The 17,438-nt window shown below is 53.0% G+C and overlaps 1 protein-coding gene and 1 long non-coding RNA gene across 5 annotated transcripts in view, besides 8 other annotated features; one reads left to right on the top strand and one right to left on the bottom strand.

Annotated features, from left to right (window-relative positions):
• Positions 1 to 9,618, bottom strand: part of RAI1 (retinoic acid induced 1) — a 129,996-nt gene extending 120,378 nt beyond the window's left edge. For 2 of the 4 annotated variants that reach the window (NM_030665.4, XM_047435153.1), the window contains exon 1: positions 9,283 to 9,618. The gene's annotated coding sequence lies outside the window, so the exon portion shown is untranslated. Of the gene's footprint in view, positions 1 to 4,887; positions 7,012 to 7,372; positions 7,531 to 9,282 lie in introns of all 4 variants that reach the window. The other 2 variants (XM_047435151.1, XM_047435152.1) reach the window with 2 other exon arrangements.
• Positions 7,958 to 8,907: a silencer, noted in NCBI's record as "silent region_8249". NCBI's record gives its function as "represses an Ori minimal core promoter by ATAC-STARR-seq in GM12878 lymphoblastoid cells {active_cell/tissue: GM12878}" and the evidence as "EXISTENCE:reporter gene assay evidence [ECO:0000049][PMID:35858748]".
• Positions 8,894 to 9,066: a silencer, noted in NCBI's record as "fragment chr17:17585324-17585496 (GRCh37/hg19 assembly coordinates)". NCBI's record gives its function as "represses an EF-1alpha promoter that drives an FKBP-Casp9 reporter gene in an ReSE screen in HepG2 liver carcinoma cells {active_cell/tissue: HepG2}" and the evidence as "EXISTENCE:reporter gene assay evidence [ECO:0000049][PMID:32094911]".
• Positions 8,894 to 9,897: a biological region, named in NCBI's record as "H3K27ac-H3K4me1 hESC enhancer GRCh37_chr17:17584813-17585414".
• Positions 8,976 to 9,577: an enhancer, noted in NCBI's record as "H3K27ac-H3K4me1 hESC enhancer chr17:17584813-17585414 (GRCh37/hg19 assembly coordinates)". NCBI's record gives its function as "activates a minimal SCP1, AML or CMV promoter by ChIP-STARR-seq in naive H9 embryonic stem cells {active_cell/tissue: H9 hESC(naive)}" and the evidence as "EXISTENCE:reporter gene assay evidence [ECO:0000049][PMID:30033119]".
• Positions 9,078 to 9,157: a silencer, noted in NCBI's record as "silent region_8248". NCBI's record gives its function as "represses an Ori minimal core promoter by ATAC-STARR-seq in GM12878 lymphoblastoid cells {active_cell/tissue: GM12878}" and the evidence as "EXISTENCE:reporter gene assay evidence [ECO:0000049][PMID:35858748]".
• Positions 9,218 to 9,357: a silencer, noted in NCBI's record as "silent region_8247". NCBI's record gives its function as "represses an Ori minimal core promoter by ATAC-STARR-seq in GM12878 lymphoblastoid cells {active_cell/tissue: GM12878}" and the evidence as "EXISTENCE:reporter gene assay evidence [ECO:0000049][PMID:35858748]".
• Positions 9,388 to 9,897: a silencer, noted in NCBI's record as "silent region_8246". NCBI's record gives its function as "represses an Ori minimal core promoter by ATAC-STARR-seq in GM12878 lymphoblastoid cells {active_cell/tissue: GM12878}" and the evidence as "EXISTENCE:reporter gene assay evidence [ECO:0000049][PMID:35858748]".
• On the top strand, positions 13,388 to 17,050 carry SMCR2 (Smith-Magenis syndrome chromosome region, candidate 2). Its single transcript, NR_131243.2, has 4 exons — positions 13,388 to 13,501; positions 14,705 to 14,866; positions 15,554 to 15,710; positions 16,920 to 17,050. It is a non-coding gene; the product is annotated as a Smith-Magenis syndrome chromosome region, candidate 2 (long non-coding RNA).
• Positions 15,044 to 15,672: an enhancer, noted in NCBI's record as "H3K4me1 hESC enhancer chr17:17578718-17579346 (GRCh37/hg19 assembly coordinates)". NCBI's record gives its function as "activates a minimal SCP1, AML or CMV promoter by ChIP-STARR-seq in naive H9 embryonic stem cells {active_cell/tissue: H9 hESC(naive)}" and the evidence as "EXISTENCE:reporter gene assay evidence [ECO:0000049][PMID:30033119]".
• Positions 17,051 to 17,438: the final 388 nt, after the last annotated feature.

Below are 17,438 nucleotides of genomic sequence, written 5' to 3'. Positions count from 1 at the left end.
TAGAACATGTGATTTTATTTTACCTCTCATCATGATCATGTAGAAATTTCATTTTCCCTATCAGAACAGAAGCTTCCAGAAGACAGGCCCATATGACCTCAGCTGTGCATCAATGCTGTTTGCCCATAGCTATTTGCTGAAGGAATCACTATCAAAGCACCAGAGAGCACCAGACTGAAAGCCAGCTCTGATTCCCCATCCCTGCCCACCCCAAGCCAGAATGCTGGGTGACTTTGCTACAGGAGTTAAGCTTCTCTGGGTCTCCTGTCTCTCCAGCTGCTGTAACAATTCTTTGTCCACTTGGGCTCTGGGAGGTTTACAACTTCACATCTCTATGAAGCTGTAGCTCCTAAGAAATCTTTCAGGTGGTTTTTACTTTACATTGTCTGAGAATTCTGATTATCACTAATAGGCACAATATTTACTAAGCACACTATTCTGTGCCCAGGACTGGCTAAGTGCTTTAGAGGCCCTATCTCATTTGATCCTCTTAACAAAACTATGAAATAGGTACTATTACTTTCGCCTTTGATGAAGGAGGAAACGGGCTTAGGGAGCTTGAGGAACCTGCCTAAAGACACACAGAGGCAGGCAGTCCTGCTGCCTCCGGCTGGTGAGGAGTCCTCAATCAGGAAACACTTTCTGCTTTCATACTTGAGACTGAAATTCCTTTTTTTTTTTTTTTTGAGACAAGGTCTCGCTCTGTCACCCAGGCTGGAGTACAGTGGTACGATCATCTTGGCTCACTGCCACCTCTGCCTCCCAGGTTCAGGCAATTCTCCTGCCTCAGCCTCCTGAGTAGCTGGGATTACAGGCGCCCACCACCACGCCCAGCTATCTTTTTGTATTTTTAGTAGAGATGGGGTTTCACCATGTTTGGCCAGGCTGGTCTCGAACTCCCGGGCTCAGGTGATCCACTCACCTCGGCCTCCCAAAATGCTGGGATTGCAGGCGTGAGCCACGGTGCCCGGCTAGGAATGAAATTCCTTCTAAAATCAAGCACACCTGGCGCCAGACAAAGGCGGACTTTCCCAGGTCAATAAGGCCTCACAGGACCTCCCCAGCATCAGGCCCCAACAGTCAAGCAGAGAAGCAGCTTTAGATCACTATAGAAGGGTCTGATTCAAGGAGTTGGGGGGCTTTGGCACCCCTTTCTGGATGCCAACCGTCACTGAGAAGCCTGGCCAGGGTGACCTCCTCCAGCACCAAGCTGGTCCATGAGATCCTTCAGGGCAGAAATAAAAGCAACAATGGAGGAAGGGCCATGCTCTGGCACTTTCTATGTACCTGATGCTGGACTTGAACAAACGACCACCCTATGAGGTAGATTCTATCAGTTCCCCCATTTTACAGATGACAGAACCAAGTAAAGGAGATAAATAACTTGGCTAAGTTCGCAAGTGGTAGACCCTGGATCTGAACCCAGGCAAAGTCCAAAATACATATGCATACCCACTATGCTACATTAGAGCTGCATCTCATTCATGGCTGTTTTCTCAGTACCCTGGTGTTCTACACGTGATTTATAAATGAACGAATGAATGAGAGTTTGTGGTTATACTGCCACTAAAGTCACAAGTTGCTGGATGCTTTCCTGGGGTCCACCTACACCACTGGGGCAAAGTCCCTTTACATACAGAAACTCTGGCCAGAAAACTAGTAATTCTCACCCGCCCCATGTGTAAAAAGACCCACTCAATCCATCTGCCTTGACCTGGCTAGAAAAGAAATAAGCACCAAACTCCTCATTTTGGCCAATGTTATTACAGGTAAGGGTTAGATGTGACCTGGCATGAATGGAAGAAGAATAATTGGCCGGGCGTGGTGGCTCACCTCACGCCTATAATCCCTGCACTTTGGGAGGCTGAGGCGGGTGGATCACCTGAGGTCAGCAGTTTGAGACCCGCCTGGCCAACATGGTGAAACACCATCTCTACTAAAAATAAAAAAAAATTAGCCAGACATGGTAGTGCGTACCTGTAATCCCAGCTACTAGGGAGGCTGAGGCAGGAGAAATGCTTGAACCCAGGGGGCAGAGGTTGCAGTGAGCCGAGGTCGAGCCACTGCACTCCAGTCTGGGCGACAGAGCAACACTCCGGCTCAAAAAAAAAAAATAATAATCATAATGGTGATCTCTTCTACATACAAAGCACTTTAGCAATAAAAATAACTGCCCAAGGCTGGGCGCAGTGACTCACGCCTGTAATCCCAGCACTTTGGGAGGCCGAGGCAGGCGGATCATGAGGTCAGGAGTTTGAGACCAGCCTGACCAGCATGGTGAAACCCCGTCTCTACTAAAAATACAAACATTAGCCAGGCATGGTGGCGCACACCTGTAGTCCCAGCTACTCGGGAGGCTGAGGCAGGAGAATCAATCACTTGAACTCAGGAGACAAAGGTTGCAGTGAGCCGGGATCGCACCACTGAACTCCAGCCTGGGCGACAGAGCGAGACTCCATCTCAAAAAACAAACAAACAAAACAAAAAACAACTGCCTAACAGCCCAGCAATGATATCCCAGCTGAGGAACTGTGCAGCAGCAACCAGGAGGGGCCTGTTACTATCCTCATTTTGTTTATTTATTTATCATTGAGACTGAATCTTGCTCTGTCACCCAGGCTGGAGTGCAGAGGCACGATCTTGGCTCATTCCAACTTCCACCCCCCGGGGTTCAAGTGATCCTCCTGCCTCAGCCTCCCAAGTAGCTGGGATTACAGGCATGTGACACTACGCCTGACTAATTTTTGTATTTTTAGTAGAGATGGGTTTCATCATGTTGGCCAGGCTGGTCTCGAACTCCTGACCTCAAGTGATCCACCCGCCTTGGCCTCCCAAAGTGCTGGGATTATAGACGTAAGCCACCGCGCCCTGCCTATTATCCTCATTTTAAAGGGGAGGGAAATGGAGCCCCACAGTGAGCAGCTGGTACCTGGATTTGAACCCAGGCTGGTGTGACCCCAAAGCCTGTTTATGGCCCCAAGCTATAGGACCTCCTTGCTTTCCAGATGACAAAACACAGCAACACTCACTTTTTTTTTTTTTTTTTTTTTGAGACAGAGTCTCCTTCACCCAGGCTGGAGTGCAGTGGTGCTATCTTGGCTCGCTGCAACCTCCATTTCCTGGGTTCAAGTGATTCTCGTGCCTCAGCCTCCCAAGTAGCTGGAATTACAGGCATGGGCCACCACACCTGGCTAATTTTTGTATTTTTAGTGGAGATGGGGTTTTGCCATGTTGGTCAGGCTAGTCTCAAACTCCTGACCTCAAGTGATCCGCCTGCCTCGGCCTCCCAAAGTGCTGGGATTACAAGCGTGAGCCACGGCGCCCCAGCTCACCTTTAATGCTTACAACAAAGCCCGTTCACATTTTTGACAGAAGAGGAAACTGACCCTCACAGAGGGAAAGTGACTTGCCCGAGGGATGCTGCAGTTAAAACTCAACCACTTTTCCTGATTCCGAATCCAGTGCTCCTTCCCCTACCCCGACCCTATCTCGCCTTCCAGATGAGCACAGTCTCCAAGAAGGGAACTCTAGGAGGCGAACCCAAGCTCCACTGGATTCTGCATGTTCTCCCTCAAGCCCCCTGACCATGGGCCTGCAGACGCTCTGAGCATGCCTGCTGTCCCTGTTCTATCAGCTGTCTCCACGGGGTCCCTGGTTTCTCATGCCCAAGGAGTGGGTGACTTGGGTCCACAGACCATCAGTGCAAGAGCAGTCCACTCTTCCCCCATTTACAGATGAGACCGAGGCCAGAGAGGAAAGGAAGACTCCCCAGCAGTCCTGGCTCCCCACCATAGTGCCTAACACATGGCTTCCCTGCCCCCTACCCCATGCTCGCCTGCTCCACCCTCCTCTCCTGCCTCTGCACAGCATTCTGGGCACCTTCTCTCCCCCAGCCTGATCACTTTGTGCAGAAAGAGGTTGCTCAACTAGCCGGGCGTGGTGGTGGGCGCCTGTAATCCCAGCTACTTGGGAGGCTGAGCCAGAGAATTGCTTGAACCCGGGAGGCAGAGGTTGCAGTGAGCTGAGATCGCACCATTGCACTCCAGCCTGGGCGACAGAGCAAGACTCCATCTCAAAAAAAAGAAAGAAACCGGATGCTCATTGTTCACCTGGCCCCTAGACTTCAAGGGTGCGAAGCCTGGACCACAGGCTTGCTCCTGTCTGGGGCCATGCAAGCATGGAGCCAAGCAAGAGAACACTTAGGGTTGTCTGCTGGACAGACGAAGGAAGGCATGGCTGATGGTGGTGTGAGACGATGCGCCTGGCTGCTTTCCTTCCTGGCCCTAAGCACACTCTTCATACTCTCCAGCAGCAGCAGCAGGAACTTCTCCCTCACTCCTTGCCGTCCCCCCACTTCCATCTCTCCCTGTCCCTGCTCACCACTCCCCAGGTCCTCCACCCCCACTCCACCTCTCTGCCCTCATGTTTTTCTCTTCCCCATCTCTCCCCTCCCCGGCGCGCGCGTGCACACACACACACACACACACACACACACACACACACACACGGGTTCAAGAACCAGTGGAGCGAAATCTGTCCTTTGCCAGCCAAGCCCCAGCCTGTACCTCCAAGCCCTGCCTCCCACCCTGCCTCCCCTTCCCTGGTGTCACATTCCAATCTCAGATCCCCAGTGACCCACCAGGAACAGGGCACAGCTCTGCCTCAATCACTGGGGAACAGGATGAGCCAGTTTCTCCCAGCCCCCTCAGGAAGCAGCCTGGGGAAGCTGCCCGCCACCTCCCCCTGCCCCCCGACCCCACCAAGCCCCTCACCCCACTCATCTAAAGGCTGACAGCACAAGATCCACACAGACCTGAGCATGCCCTTGCTAAAGATCAAAGGGGCCCACGGGAGACAATGTTGGGGCTCTCACCCTCTCCACCTCACCTGGCCCTCCTGCCAGGAAGCATTTCTGAGCGTCCTGTGTTCTAGGCCTCGCCCTTGGCACTGGGCCGGAGAGAGCAAGGAGACGTGCTTTCAGGCCTCGATGCTTCAGCCTCATGGGGAGGACAGACACTGGCAGAATTGCCGATAATTCCGTGATAAACGCTATGCCACGAGTATAGACAAAGGGAGATGACTCATTCTGCCTCGGAGGTCAGAGGAGGAGGAGACAGGACGTCTGTTTTGGTCTGGGGCGGCAGGGAGGAAGGTGAGGGGCATCCCAGGTGGAAGGAACAGCCCAGCCCGATGCACAGAGGCAAGGATGCACATGGCTGCACCTTAACAAGGAGGTGCCAGCTGTGGCTGGAGGGGACAGGACTGAATGAGGACAGGGCAGGCAGAGGACACCAGAAATGGCCCTGGACAGCATGGGAAGAACTACAGATGGGACCTTTATTCATAAGGCAGCAGGAGCCACTGGAGGTTATCTGCTGGGTTTAGAACGATCGCTCTGACAGTGCTGCTGGCCAGCACCTGGGAGGGGACAGGATGGAGGCAGGGAGGCCAGTGAGGAGGTCCCAGCAACAGCCCAACCTCTTCCGCCACCATTCTTTCTGAGCCAAGTCCTCCCCTCTTGTTTGGCTACAGCACACAGGCCACATCCCTTCCAGCTTCCAAAGACTCGCTCTGCTCACTGTGTTCCCTCTGCCAGGAATGCTCCTCTCACTCTTACCTCGCCGTGCCTGAAGCACCTGCTCAAAGGCCCCTCCTCCAGGAAGCCTCCAGCTCTGGTCGAGGCCTTGGCTATGAGCTGGGTCCCAATCACCCACTGGGCTGTGACCTTCTTGTGGTCAAGTGCAGGGATGCTTCCTGCTTGGACCCCGACATTAAGCACAGAACTTTGGAAACAGTGGGTCCTTGGAAAATCCCTGTTCCCTTGGGCCCAGTGCCCAGGTGCCTCTCCCGCAGAGACGCTGCTCTGCGCACACCGTTGCTGTTGCACCTCCTCCCTCCCTGTGGAGCCACACGTTGGATAGGGGAGGAAAAAGACACCCATGCCATGGCCACAGGCAGCTGTGGAAAGCAATGCATTTCAAACATGGGCTGCCATGGAGATAGAACAGCAATAACAATACAACAATGACGGCAGCAATCAGCATTTATTGGCAAAAGCACTGCTCTAAACTTCATATGGATTAACTCACTGCATCTTTACTTCAGTACCGTGAGGTCTGTACTGTTATTCTCCTGATTGTAAAGATGGGGACACTGAGGCACAGAGAGGTAAATGGCCTGTTCAGTATGTGGTGGAGCCAGGAGTCAACCCAGAACTTGCCCTGAAGGACTTCGCCACACAACCAACCTCTCCAAGACAAACGGAGAGGAAAAAGGAAGCTGCCGAGGAAGAGCCCACAGTATGTCCTCACTTGGGGAAAAAGAAAACTATGCATGGATTGGTATATGTAATATACATACATACATACATATATATATATATATATATATATATATATATATATGCATTAAGTGAGTAACAAAAAGTCTGGAAGGATACGTTCAAACTATTAACTGGGGTTACCTGCAGGGAGGGTGCCAAGGGAACTTTTACTTTTACTACATATATTTCTGGCTTATTTGCATTTTTCACCCAAGTATCCAAGTGTTACTTGAGTAGTTTAACATGAGAGGAATTATTAGGGTTGCAATTAACATTTGTTGCATGAATAGATGGCAAATTCATTTCCTAGGCTTGTTTTTTTCAAATTCTGGGTATGACCCATCAGTGGATTGCAAAATTAATTTCGTGGGTAGCAATCAGTAATTAAAAAAAAAACAAATACACAAGAACAAAAAGGATTACAGACCAGCAGACACAGTAAGGGAGTTATTTCAGTAAACTTTTGTTTCAGCTATATACAGTGTGACCTGTGTAGTTACCTACGATGTATTTCTTACTATAGGTCACGGGCAAGAATTTGAAAGCAATTGGTCTAGGCTTGGGAGTCTAAAGAGGAGTAAGGCTGGGTGCAGTGACTCACTCCTGTAATCCCAGCACTTTGGGAGGCCAAAGAGGGAGGATCGCTTGAGCCCAGGACTTCAAGACCAGCCATGGCAAGACCCCTGTCTCTAGAAAAAAAAAAAAATTTAAAATTAGCTACGTGTGGTGTCGGGCGCCTGTGATCCCAGCTACTCAGGAGACTGATGCTGGAGGATCGCTTGAGCCCTGGAGGTTGAGGCTGAAGTGAGCTGTGTTTGTGCCAAGGCACTCCAGCCTGGGCCACACAGCAAGACCCTGTCTCAAAAATAAAACAAAGAGGAGTAAGACAGGGTCCCTGCCTATGAGAGCCCCACAGTCTAGTGGAAGAGAAAGGCAGCTCCAGTACCCCTGAGTTCCCTTTATCTCCACAGAAGCCAGAGGGATGCTAGGCTGGTGGGAAAGGTCCTATTTTGCCCACTCCACAGTTGGCTTCTGGGGCCTGGATCTCACCTTGATACATTCTCCTCCTCTCCAAGGCTTTTGCTTGTGAGAGCTTTTGCCAGAGTTATGGGGCTGAGCCTGCCCTGAGATCAGAATGATGTGTCCACTTCTGTGTCACGCAAAAGGCCACTTTTCCTTGCTCCTGGGCCCCGAATATACCGGCTTGCCTGTCAAGAGGGGGAGGGGTGGGAAACTAGAAGATTCCTTTCCAGTTTCTAGATCCCGAGGGCCACGTCCCAGGAAAGCCTCTGAAAACCCAGCTGTGTGGTCAGCAGGGAGGGGCCACCATTCAGTCTGCAGCGAGGGCTGCCCCCCACCTGGGGTGGGCCTGACCCTGAGCAGAGCGAGGACTGTATGGAGAATGGAGGGGGGCAGGGGCAGGAAGAGAAGCAGAGCCCCCAGCTCGGGGCTCCCATCACGCTGGCGCCTCCACATCAGAGCTAGCCTAACCCACCCCCGCCTCTCCTCCCAGGGCAGCAGACAACTAAAAAAAGATAAAATAAAAAGAAGTAATTCCCCTGCTCTGACGTCAGCGCGAGGTCTTAACAGCCCGGCAGCGGCATGAAACTGGATTGCAACCAGATGTAATGCCCTTGAATTCTCAACACACTACTGCATTGGAAAGACATAAAAGGGGGGCGGGGGACAGTATTGGTGGGAGGAACCGTGCAGATCCCGAGTGGGTCCCTGAATCCGGGCCCGCCGAAACCGCGGGGAAGGCGGCGCGGGAGAGTGTGCGGCGCGCGGAGCAGCGCCCGGCCGGCTCCGCCATTCAGGCGCGCGGCCTCCCCTCCCCCAGCCCCCACCGGCGCATTGTTACACTCGCTCCCATCCATTCAGAGCCCGAGGCCCGCCGCGCCCCCGCCAGCCCGGGCTCCGCGCAGGAGAGCACCGCGGCAGCCCGCACTCCGGCCCCTGCGTGGACTGGATAACGACCAAGAGCCCCAAGAAAGAAAACTGCTAGCCGGGAAAACGGGCGCCCCAGGAAGCTGGGGCCGCGACGGCCTAGGGCCTGGCTGGTGTTTCGCTTCCCCTCCGCCCCACCACGGAGGCCCCTGGCGCGACCAGGCTCCAAATGTCACCCTCGCGTCCTGCCACCCCTTGTCCCCGCCGCACTCGGCCCCCATGTCCTCCTCCCGGGTTCCCTGCCTTCAAGGCGCGTGAGAGGGGGGGCCGGCCTCGAAAAGGGCGGCGGGCTGCGCCGCCGTCTGTGGGGCGCAAGGCTCGCGTGTCCGGGGCCCCCGCCCGTGACGTCATCCCCGAAGGGCCCGTGCCTCCCGGGCCTGGCCGCTACAGAGCTCCCCAGGTCGCGGGGGCCGCTTCCTGCCCGGCCTCGGGGCCTGCGCACAGGCCCCGGGGCCGCTGCCCGGGTAGGGACACCGCAGAGAGCCCGAGCACCCATCTCGCCACGCACGGCCTTCGCCGGCCCTGACTCCCAAGCGATGGCCACGCCGGGCCCGGGTCACGCATGGGGAAGTCAGCTCCCCGTCCCCCACCTCGGACGCACTCACAAAGCTCACCTCCGCCCCCGGCGCCCCGCGAATGCACCCCACGTCCCCACCCCACGCTCCGCAAAGACTCCGCGCCTCGGCGCAAGCAGATCCCTTGCCACACTCGCCCCTCGCGCCCCCATGCCCCCACCCGACCTCAGCTGGCCGCACATCCCCCAGAAGACCCTCAGCCGCGGCGCAGGGCGCCCCCACCCTGCAGCTCCCCAGACGTCCATCCGGTGACCTCGCGCACCCCCCACACCACACAAAGCAAGGACCCCGCGGACCCCACATCTCCACCCAGCGCGCGCGCTCGGCGTCCGAACCCGCCTCGGCTCATCACCCGGCCTAGGATCCCGACGCCTCGCGCCGCCCCCGCCCCGGGGCAGGATACACTGCGCCCCCCGCGCCCCGGCGCTCGCTGCTCACCTCGGCGCCCGCGCTCACTCGGGGGCCTTGGGTCTGGCGCTGCGACTTCGCGGCCCGGAGGCCTGGGTGGCCATGGGGGTCGGGGCGCGGCGGCCCGGCCGGCCCGCGGCCAGGCAGGAAGGAGGGTGGGCCGCGGCGCCCCCTCCTCGCGCCGGCGCTAGGGCCGCGGGCAGGGCGGCCTGCTCGGCTCGCCTCTCGCCCTCGCTGCACTCGCTCTCCCACTCGTCTCTCGGAGCCCAGCCGCGGGCGGGGGCGGCGCCCGGGGACGCGGGGAGCGGGCCTTGGCCGCGCACCCGGCCGGGCCTGCCTGGTGTCCGCGGGTGCCGCGAGGAATGCGATCCCCTCCGCACAGGAAGAGCGGACGAGCGGACGGGCGGGCGGGCGACGCGCGGGGGGAGAAGGAGAGCAAGAGCGCGAGGAAAAAAGTTCCCGGGCGGCCTGGCTGCGCTCGCTCGCGGCCCCGGGCGCCAGGTGGGCCGTGCGCGCCCCGACAGCACCCCCTGGCGGTCCGCGCGCCCCACTGCGCGCCCCCCGCCCGCTGGCCGGCCTGCGGGAGGGGGCCTCTGCGGTGGGATCCCGGTGCGGCCTGGGAGGACACTAGCGCCCTGCGTACAGGAGCTTCCAGCGTCAGGCCAGGCCCCCACCCTCACCCCACCATTAGCCCTCACCTGTGCCCACTTCTTTGCAGTTTGAGAAACATTTTCGATTTCAAAACTCCATTGGCTTCATGTAAACTTCATTTACTGGGCACCTGGCACCTTGCTGAGTCTTGAGGAATCAGCAGAGACAATGCGGTCCCTGCTGTCGTGGAGCTGGCATCCTGGTGGGAAGAGACAGACAGCAAACAAATGCTTAGATACATGACGAAGATAATTTTAGAGCAGTAAGTGCTAGGACGAAAATTAGCAGGTGAAGTGACGGCTAGGGCTCCTTGGCTGGGGGAGAGAGAAGGAGGCCTGTCTGTGCAAAGATCTAAATAGCAAGAGGAACCGCCATGGGTAGAGTCTGGGAAGAGCATTTTGTTCTTTTAGAGGCAGGGTCTTGCTGTGTTGCCCAGGCCGAACTTGAATTCCTGGCCTCAAACAGTCCTCCCACCTCAGCCTTCTGAGTAGCTGGGACTACAGGGGCCTGCCCTCCTGGGAAGAGCATCATTGGCAGAAAGAACATCAAGTGCAAAGGTCCTGAGGCAGGAGAGAACTTGGTGAGTAAGTGGAATTGTGAGGAGGCCGTCAGCAAGGGGACAAGTAATGGGCACATTGAAGTCAGAGCCATATCGGGAGGGCCAGAGCCTGCAGGGCTGCAGAGAGCTCAGTGAGGAATTTGTTTGCAATTCTAGTGCAAGGAAGGTAGCCACTGGCAGACTTTAAACAGAGGCATGTTGAATGAGAGAGTCCTTGCATGAAACTTAAGGTACAGACCTCGGAGCAATTTCATGCCTAGGTCTCTACTTGCCATAGCTCAGGTGGGAGCTCACTGCCACCTGCTTGGGAAGCCTCTCAGCCCCACCCAGGCTCTAGGGTCTGTGGGATATGACCCCATTAACAGCCCCATCGAAGCCTCCCTCATTTGTCCTTTGGTAGGGCAGAGGGGAGCTGGTCAAGGCATCAGAGCTTGTGGGTGACCTGGGACAAGTGAATCCTGCATCTGCAAAATAAGGTATTGTGATAGATGGGGGGCCCTCACTCTGTCCCAGGCCTGCTGTGCCCCTTCTGTGCATGGTCTCATTAGATCCTGGTGCCCCCTCTGTGAGGTCGGCTCATCACATTTTGTGGATGAGGAAACAGGCGCAGAGTGGTGAAGTCCCCTGTCCAGGTTCTCAAGCTACAGGACAGAATCAACACAGGTCCCCACAGTCCTTCCTACTGGACTTGGCTACCCGTCTCCCAGGGTGAATGTCAAGAGCAAGACAGAGCTGGATCCCAGTGCGAACTGTGTTGTTTTAAGCTTGTTTTAAGTGCGGTTTCTGGATGACAGATCTGGTTTATTTTTATTTATTTATTTATGTATTTTTTTTTTGAGACGGAGTTTTGCCCCTGTTGCCCTGCCTGGAGTGCAATGGTGCGATCTTGGCTCACCACAACCTCTGCCTCCCAGATTCAAGCAATTCTCCTGCCTCAGCCTCCCGAGTAGCTGGGATTACAGACATGCACCGCCACACCCACCTAATTTTGTATTTTTAGTAGAGACAGGGTTTCTCCATGTTGGTCAAGCTGATCTTGAACTCCTGACCTCAGGTGATCCACCTGCCTCGGACTCCCAAAGTGCTGAGATTTCAGACATGAGCTACCGCGCCTGGCAAATCTGGTTTCTAAACGTGGCTCCTCTATGCCCAGCTGGGTGGCTTTGGGCAAACTACTTAACTTGCTGAGCCTCCGTTTCCTCATCTGTAGAATGGGGATAATAGTACCTACCTCATGGGTCTGTTGAGAGGATTGAATGAGGTACGTGTGGAAAGCATTTAGCTCACAGCCTGGCATGCAGTAAGTGCTATTACTGCTTTAAGATGCTAGATTAATGGGAACAGTCCCTATCATCCATCCAGGGCTCCCAATCTCCACCCCGAGCTGGTCTCCTGCCCTCCCTGCCTTACCTTAACCTGCTCCTGAGTGGAGCCTAAGGGAAGGCTGGTTCTAGGGACCCCAGTGGGAGGCAAGACAAGGAGGTCTTGCTGGGAGATTTCTGGTTCCCACACAAGGGTCCCCAAGACTAGCTTCTCCACCTGGAGAGGGTGGGAGACCAGCTGGAACCCCAAGGAGAGTCAATTTTCTGGCCTTGGAATTAGGTATTTTTTGTTTTGAAAATTCCTTGGTATCAAGTTTACATGACTGGGGCCACTGGACCCTGTAGGCAGGGCTGGGGGTACAAAGAGGATCACAAGCCTGGCCTCTTTGGGAGCCATAGCTCAGGCACCACTCAAGGAAGCACATTTGTTCAAGGGATTAGCATTTCTGGATGTCAGTTCAGCGAAGGGTTGGAGGAGGTGGCGATTGAGGCAGACCTCAGAGGATGGGCAGGAAGGGAGCCCTGGGTTGCAAAGGGGATGGGTGTCCCAGAGAGTGAGAGGAGGAAGGAATATGCAGGCAGATGGAAGAGGGTGTGCGGTCAAGGTACTAACAACTGCTTTTGTGTGTGAGTGTGAATGTGTGTATATGTGTGTGTAAGACAGAGTCTCACTCTGTTGCCCAGGCTGGAGTGCAATGGTGTGATCATAGCTGACTGCAGCCTCAAACTCCTGAACTCAAGCAGTTCTCCCACCTCAGCCCCCTGAGTAACTGGGACCACAGGCATACACCACTATGCCTAGCCAATTTATTTTTTATAGAGATGGCATCTTGCTATGTTGCCCAGGCTGGTCTTGAATTCTGGGCTCAAGTGATCCTCCTGCCTTGGCCTCCCAAAGTGCTGGAATTACAAGTGTGAGCCACCACGCCTGACCAGAACTGCCACTTTTGAGTACCTACTGTGTGCCAGGTGCCTAGGGATGTTGTAACAAATTCCACAAGTGGCTTAAAATAACACAAATTAATTAATTAATTAATTTATTTATTTATTTATTTATTTATTTATGACAGAGTCTTGCTCTGTTGCCCAGGCTTGAGTGCAGTGGCGCAATCTTGGCTCACTGTAACCTCTGCCTCTCGGGTTCAAGTGATTCTCGTGCCTCTGCCTTCCAAGTAGCTGAGACCACAGGCACATACCACACCACCAAGCCTAGCTAATTTTTGTATTTTTTGTGGAGAGTGGGTTTCACCATGTTGCCCAGCCTAGACAGATTTATTCTTTACAGTTCTGGAGGTCAGAACTCCAAAATCAGTTTCACTGGGCTAAAGCCAAGGTGTGGGCTGGGCTAGCTCTCCTGGTGCCTCCAGGAGAGAATCTCTTCCTTGCCTTTTCCAATTTCTGGAGGTTGCCTGTGTTTCTCAGCTTGTGACCCCTTGGTGACCTCCAGAAGCTAGAACAGGCAAGAAAACAATTGCTTCCATTGTCCCAGCTTCTACTTCCTCCCTTGACCTTCCTGCCTCTGCTCATGAGGACCCTTGTGATTCCATTCCGGTCCACCTGGATAATCCAGGCTAATCCCTCCATCTCAAGAAGACTCTTAATTTATTTAATCACATCTGCAAGGACCCTCTGAATGCTGTCTTGCCTCAACTCATTTTACAGATAAGAAAATCAAGGCTCAGAGAGGTGAAGTCACTGATCCAAAGTCACACAGCAGGTGAGTTTAGTCACCCATTTCATGCATGGAGAGCCCACTGTGGGTCAGACACTGGGTTAGACCCTGGGTTGCAATGTGAAAGTTACCCATGAAGAGTGCTGTGGTGCCCAGGCATGCAGAGTAATGACCTAGTCCTGTCAAGGAATTCAGGGAAGGCTTCCTGGAGGAGGTGATTAGTGAGTTGAGCTTTCAAGAGTGATTTTCCTCTGCCTGCTTTAACCAGGGAGGCTTCTGAACAAACGAGGGCCCTTCCAGAGGAGGACAGCCATAGGCCTAACCATCCTGAGACTGCTCTGAATGATGCTGGTTGAGAGGGCTCAGTCTTCTCAGAAGAGAACTAGGAACTGATCAGGGATCACTGTCAGCAGAGCTAGCCCCAAGACACTTCTGCTGCTGACCCTGCTTGTCATCCTTAGTTGCACACAGGTAGAAGGGTGAGCAGGGGTGTGCACGCTATGCAATGCAGAGGCTCAATAAAGTCAGTGTTGGGGCAGAGTCTCAAACTTGCAGCTCAAAGGCCGAACTCAGGCTGCTAGGTTTGTTTTGATTGGAAAGCAGAGCAAAAAGTGAAAATTTTGAAGTTGACATACGTTGCCAGGTGCAGTGGCTCATGCCTGTAATTCCAGCACTTTGGGAGGCCAAGGCGGGAGGATCACTTGAGCCCAGAGTTCAAGGCTAGCCTGGGCAACATAGTGAGACTCATCGCTACAAAAAAAAAAGTTTTGTTTTGTTTTGTTTTGTTTTTAATTAGCCAGGTATAGTGGTGCATATCTGTAGTCCCAGCTACTTGGAAGGCTGAGGTGGGAGAATCGCTTGAGCCAGGGAGGTCGAGGCTGCAGTGAGCCATGACAGTGCTACTGCACTCCAGCCTGGGGGACAGAGTGAGACCCCATCTCAAAAAAAAAAAATAAGAGAGAGAAAAGCAAGAAAAGAAAGGAAAGAAAGAGAAAGAGAAAGAGAAAGAAAATAAATATCTTTAAGGAATCTAAGTTCTTCGGGGCCCCACCACTACCTATTGTTCTATACCCGCATTTAAATCACCTGGCTGACCAACCCCTCAGCACACCCCGACACACACACACACACATACACACACACACACACACACACACACACACAGCCTTGGGTTTCAGACACCTTCCCCCCAGGGTTCTTAACACTCACATCTGTGTGGCCTTGAACTTCCTGTCTGTTTTCTCATAGGTCAAAAGGAGATCATGTTTCCTGCCTGGAGGAGAGGCCCCGGTGGACTGGAATAGGAGAAAGTGGAGGGGGTGTATTTCAGGATAGAATCCTGCACCCTGCCAGGGACCACGCTTATCCTTGGCTCACTCAATAGGATGCAAGGGCGTTTACTGTGGCCAGGTGATTCCCGCAGCCGCTGTCTCACTAGGTCTCACCTGCATTTCAATAGCCTCCTTGTTCAGATGAGGAAACACACTTAGGGAATGAAGTCACTTGCCCAAGATCACACAGTCATACTTAGAGTAGGGATTCTCCTGGCCTGAGCTCCTGCCCACGCTGCCGCCCCGCCTCCTCTGCGATGAAAACTGGATGGAGGCTCCGGGCTGTTCTTACAGAGCCCAGGCAGAGTGTGAGTGTGCAGGAGGACTCCCATTAGCAAGCATGTAGCTAGTACTTATTTGGCACCTACTATGTGCATTTCAGTCTTATTATCTCCATTTTGCAGAGAACATAGAGGCCTAGAGAGGGGAGGAAACTCTCCCAGAATACCTTCTTCTGTGTAGGTAGCTGTCACCCAGGCTCTCTGCTTAGACAGTAACAGAGGAATGAGATGGAAAATCAGAACTCCTGCCCCAGCTCTGCCACCGTGCCACCAACAGCACGGCCTTGGGTACCTCCTCACCCTCTTTGAGACTCTGGTTTCTAACGAGGAGTGTAGCAATCCGTGCCTCCTGGGCTTATGACGATTTAAAACAGTTCAACATTGTAGAACTCTGGACCACCAACTGTTGCTGCTCCCCCTCACCCCATCAGCCTCCAGCACTTCTACAGAGAAGACAAATGTGAATGTGAACCTTTCTTTTGTAGGTCTTGTGAGTGCCCAGAGCCCTGTGGCAAGAAGCCTCTGCCAGGGAAAGGGATGCGGGGAAGTGGAGGCAGTGATGGGGAAGCAGAGCCAGGAGAGACCCTTGGGCTTCCTTCCTTCAAGGCCTCTGGTCTCTAGCAGAGAGAAGAGAGGGAGCAGGTGAGAGCCCCACTTAGCTCTAGGCAATATTTTTTTTTCAGACAGGATCCCACTCTGTCACCCAGGCTGGAGTGCAGTGGCACAATCATGACTCACTGCAGCCTCAACCTCCCAAGCTCAAGCAACGCTCCCATCTCAGCCTCCCAAGCTCAAGCACCGCTCCCATCTCAGCCTCCCAAGTTGCTTGGACTACAGGTGCACGCTATCACGCCCAGCTAATTTTTGTATTTTTTGTAGAGATGGGTTTTTGCCATGTTGTTCAGGCTGCTCTTGAACTCCTGAGTTAAGTGATCTGCCTTGCCTACCTTGGCCTCCCAAAGTGCTGGGATTACAGGCATGAGCCACTGCGTGCAGCCGAGCCAAACCTCATTCTAGATTCCATCTCCAGGAATAATGATGTGGGACCCACCACACAGCCCCCATAGTCTGGCAAGTGAGACAGACATTGAACCCACTCTAAAGAAGGGTCTCATTATCCCAAGAAAAAGACCACTTTGACCACAAGTCAAAGCTCTGGGAACCAACATTTCTTAGTAATTGGGAAAAAAATGTTTAATTGGAATTTTGTTTTGAAAAATGAAATTTAAACTATGAAAATATACACATTTTATCTTCCACAAACAACATTTAGGTTAATATGCTAATTCTTAGATTAATGTGCTAATACTTAGTGTTATGGTTTGACTGTCCCCTCCAAAACTTATGATGAAATTTATTTATTTATTTTATTTTTTTTTTTTTTAGATGGAGTTTTGTTCTTGTCACCCAGGCTGGAGTGCAATGGCATGATCTCGGCTAAGTGCAACTCCTGCCTCCTGGGTTCAAGCAATTCTCCTGCCTTAGCCTTTTGAGTAGCTGGGATTACAAGTGGCCACCCCTATACCCAGCTAATTTTTATATTTTTAGTAGAGACAAGGTTTCACCATTTTGGCCACGATGGTCTTGAACTCCTGACCTCAAGTGATCTGCCTTCTTTGGCCTCCCAAAGTGCTGGGATTACAGTGGTGAGCCATCATGCCCGGCTGATTTATGATGAAATTTAATTGCCATTGTGAAGGTATTAAGAGGTGGGACTATTAAGAAGTGATTAGGTCATAAGGGCAAAACCCTCATGAATGGATTAATCTCTTTATTGAAGGAGTGAGCTCATGATCAAGACACTGGATTTATTGTAAAAATGAGTTCAGCTCTCTCTTGCTCACTGTCTAGTGCTCTCTTGCCCTTCTGCCTTCCACCATGGGATGATACAGCATGAAGACCCCCACCAGATGCTGGTGCCATACTCTTGGACTTCCCAGTCTTCAGAAGCATGAGCCAAATAAATTTCTATTGTTTACAAATTACCCAGAGTGGTATTCTGTTTTAGCATCAGAAAATGGAGTAAGACAATTAGAGTACAAAAAGTTCATTGGAGTAGGCATAGTTCTTCCCACAAAATTGCCTGATGGTCCTTACTAGAACCTTCTGGGTCCTAACAACCAGAATGCTTCATCACATCCCCCTGAGTTCTTTGGGCCACTCTGAGTTCTATGACATTCAAATCATTTTCTTCCAAAGCACAGGTTCATCTTTCTTCACGTTGGGGGTTTTCATTATTTAGACAGGGCTGACCCAGCCAGATAGATAGATCCTTGGTTTGTCAGCCACTGTGTGCAGAACCCAGGAGCTCTCCAACGTAACTCTCATCAACTTCAAGAAATTCTACAACTTTGAAGTTTTCCTTTGCTA

The sequence above is a fragment of the Homo sapiens genome, chromosome 17, assembly GCF_000001405.40.
Source record: "Homo sapiens chromosome 17, GRCh38.p14 Primary Assembly".
Taxonomy (NCBI): Eukaryota; Metazoa; Chordata; class Mammalia; order Primates; family Hominidae; genus Homo; species Homo sapiens.
Note: the sequence above shows the minus strand (reverse complement) of the source record. Positions and strands in the feature narration are given on the sequence as shown.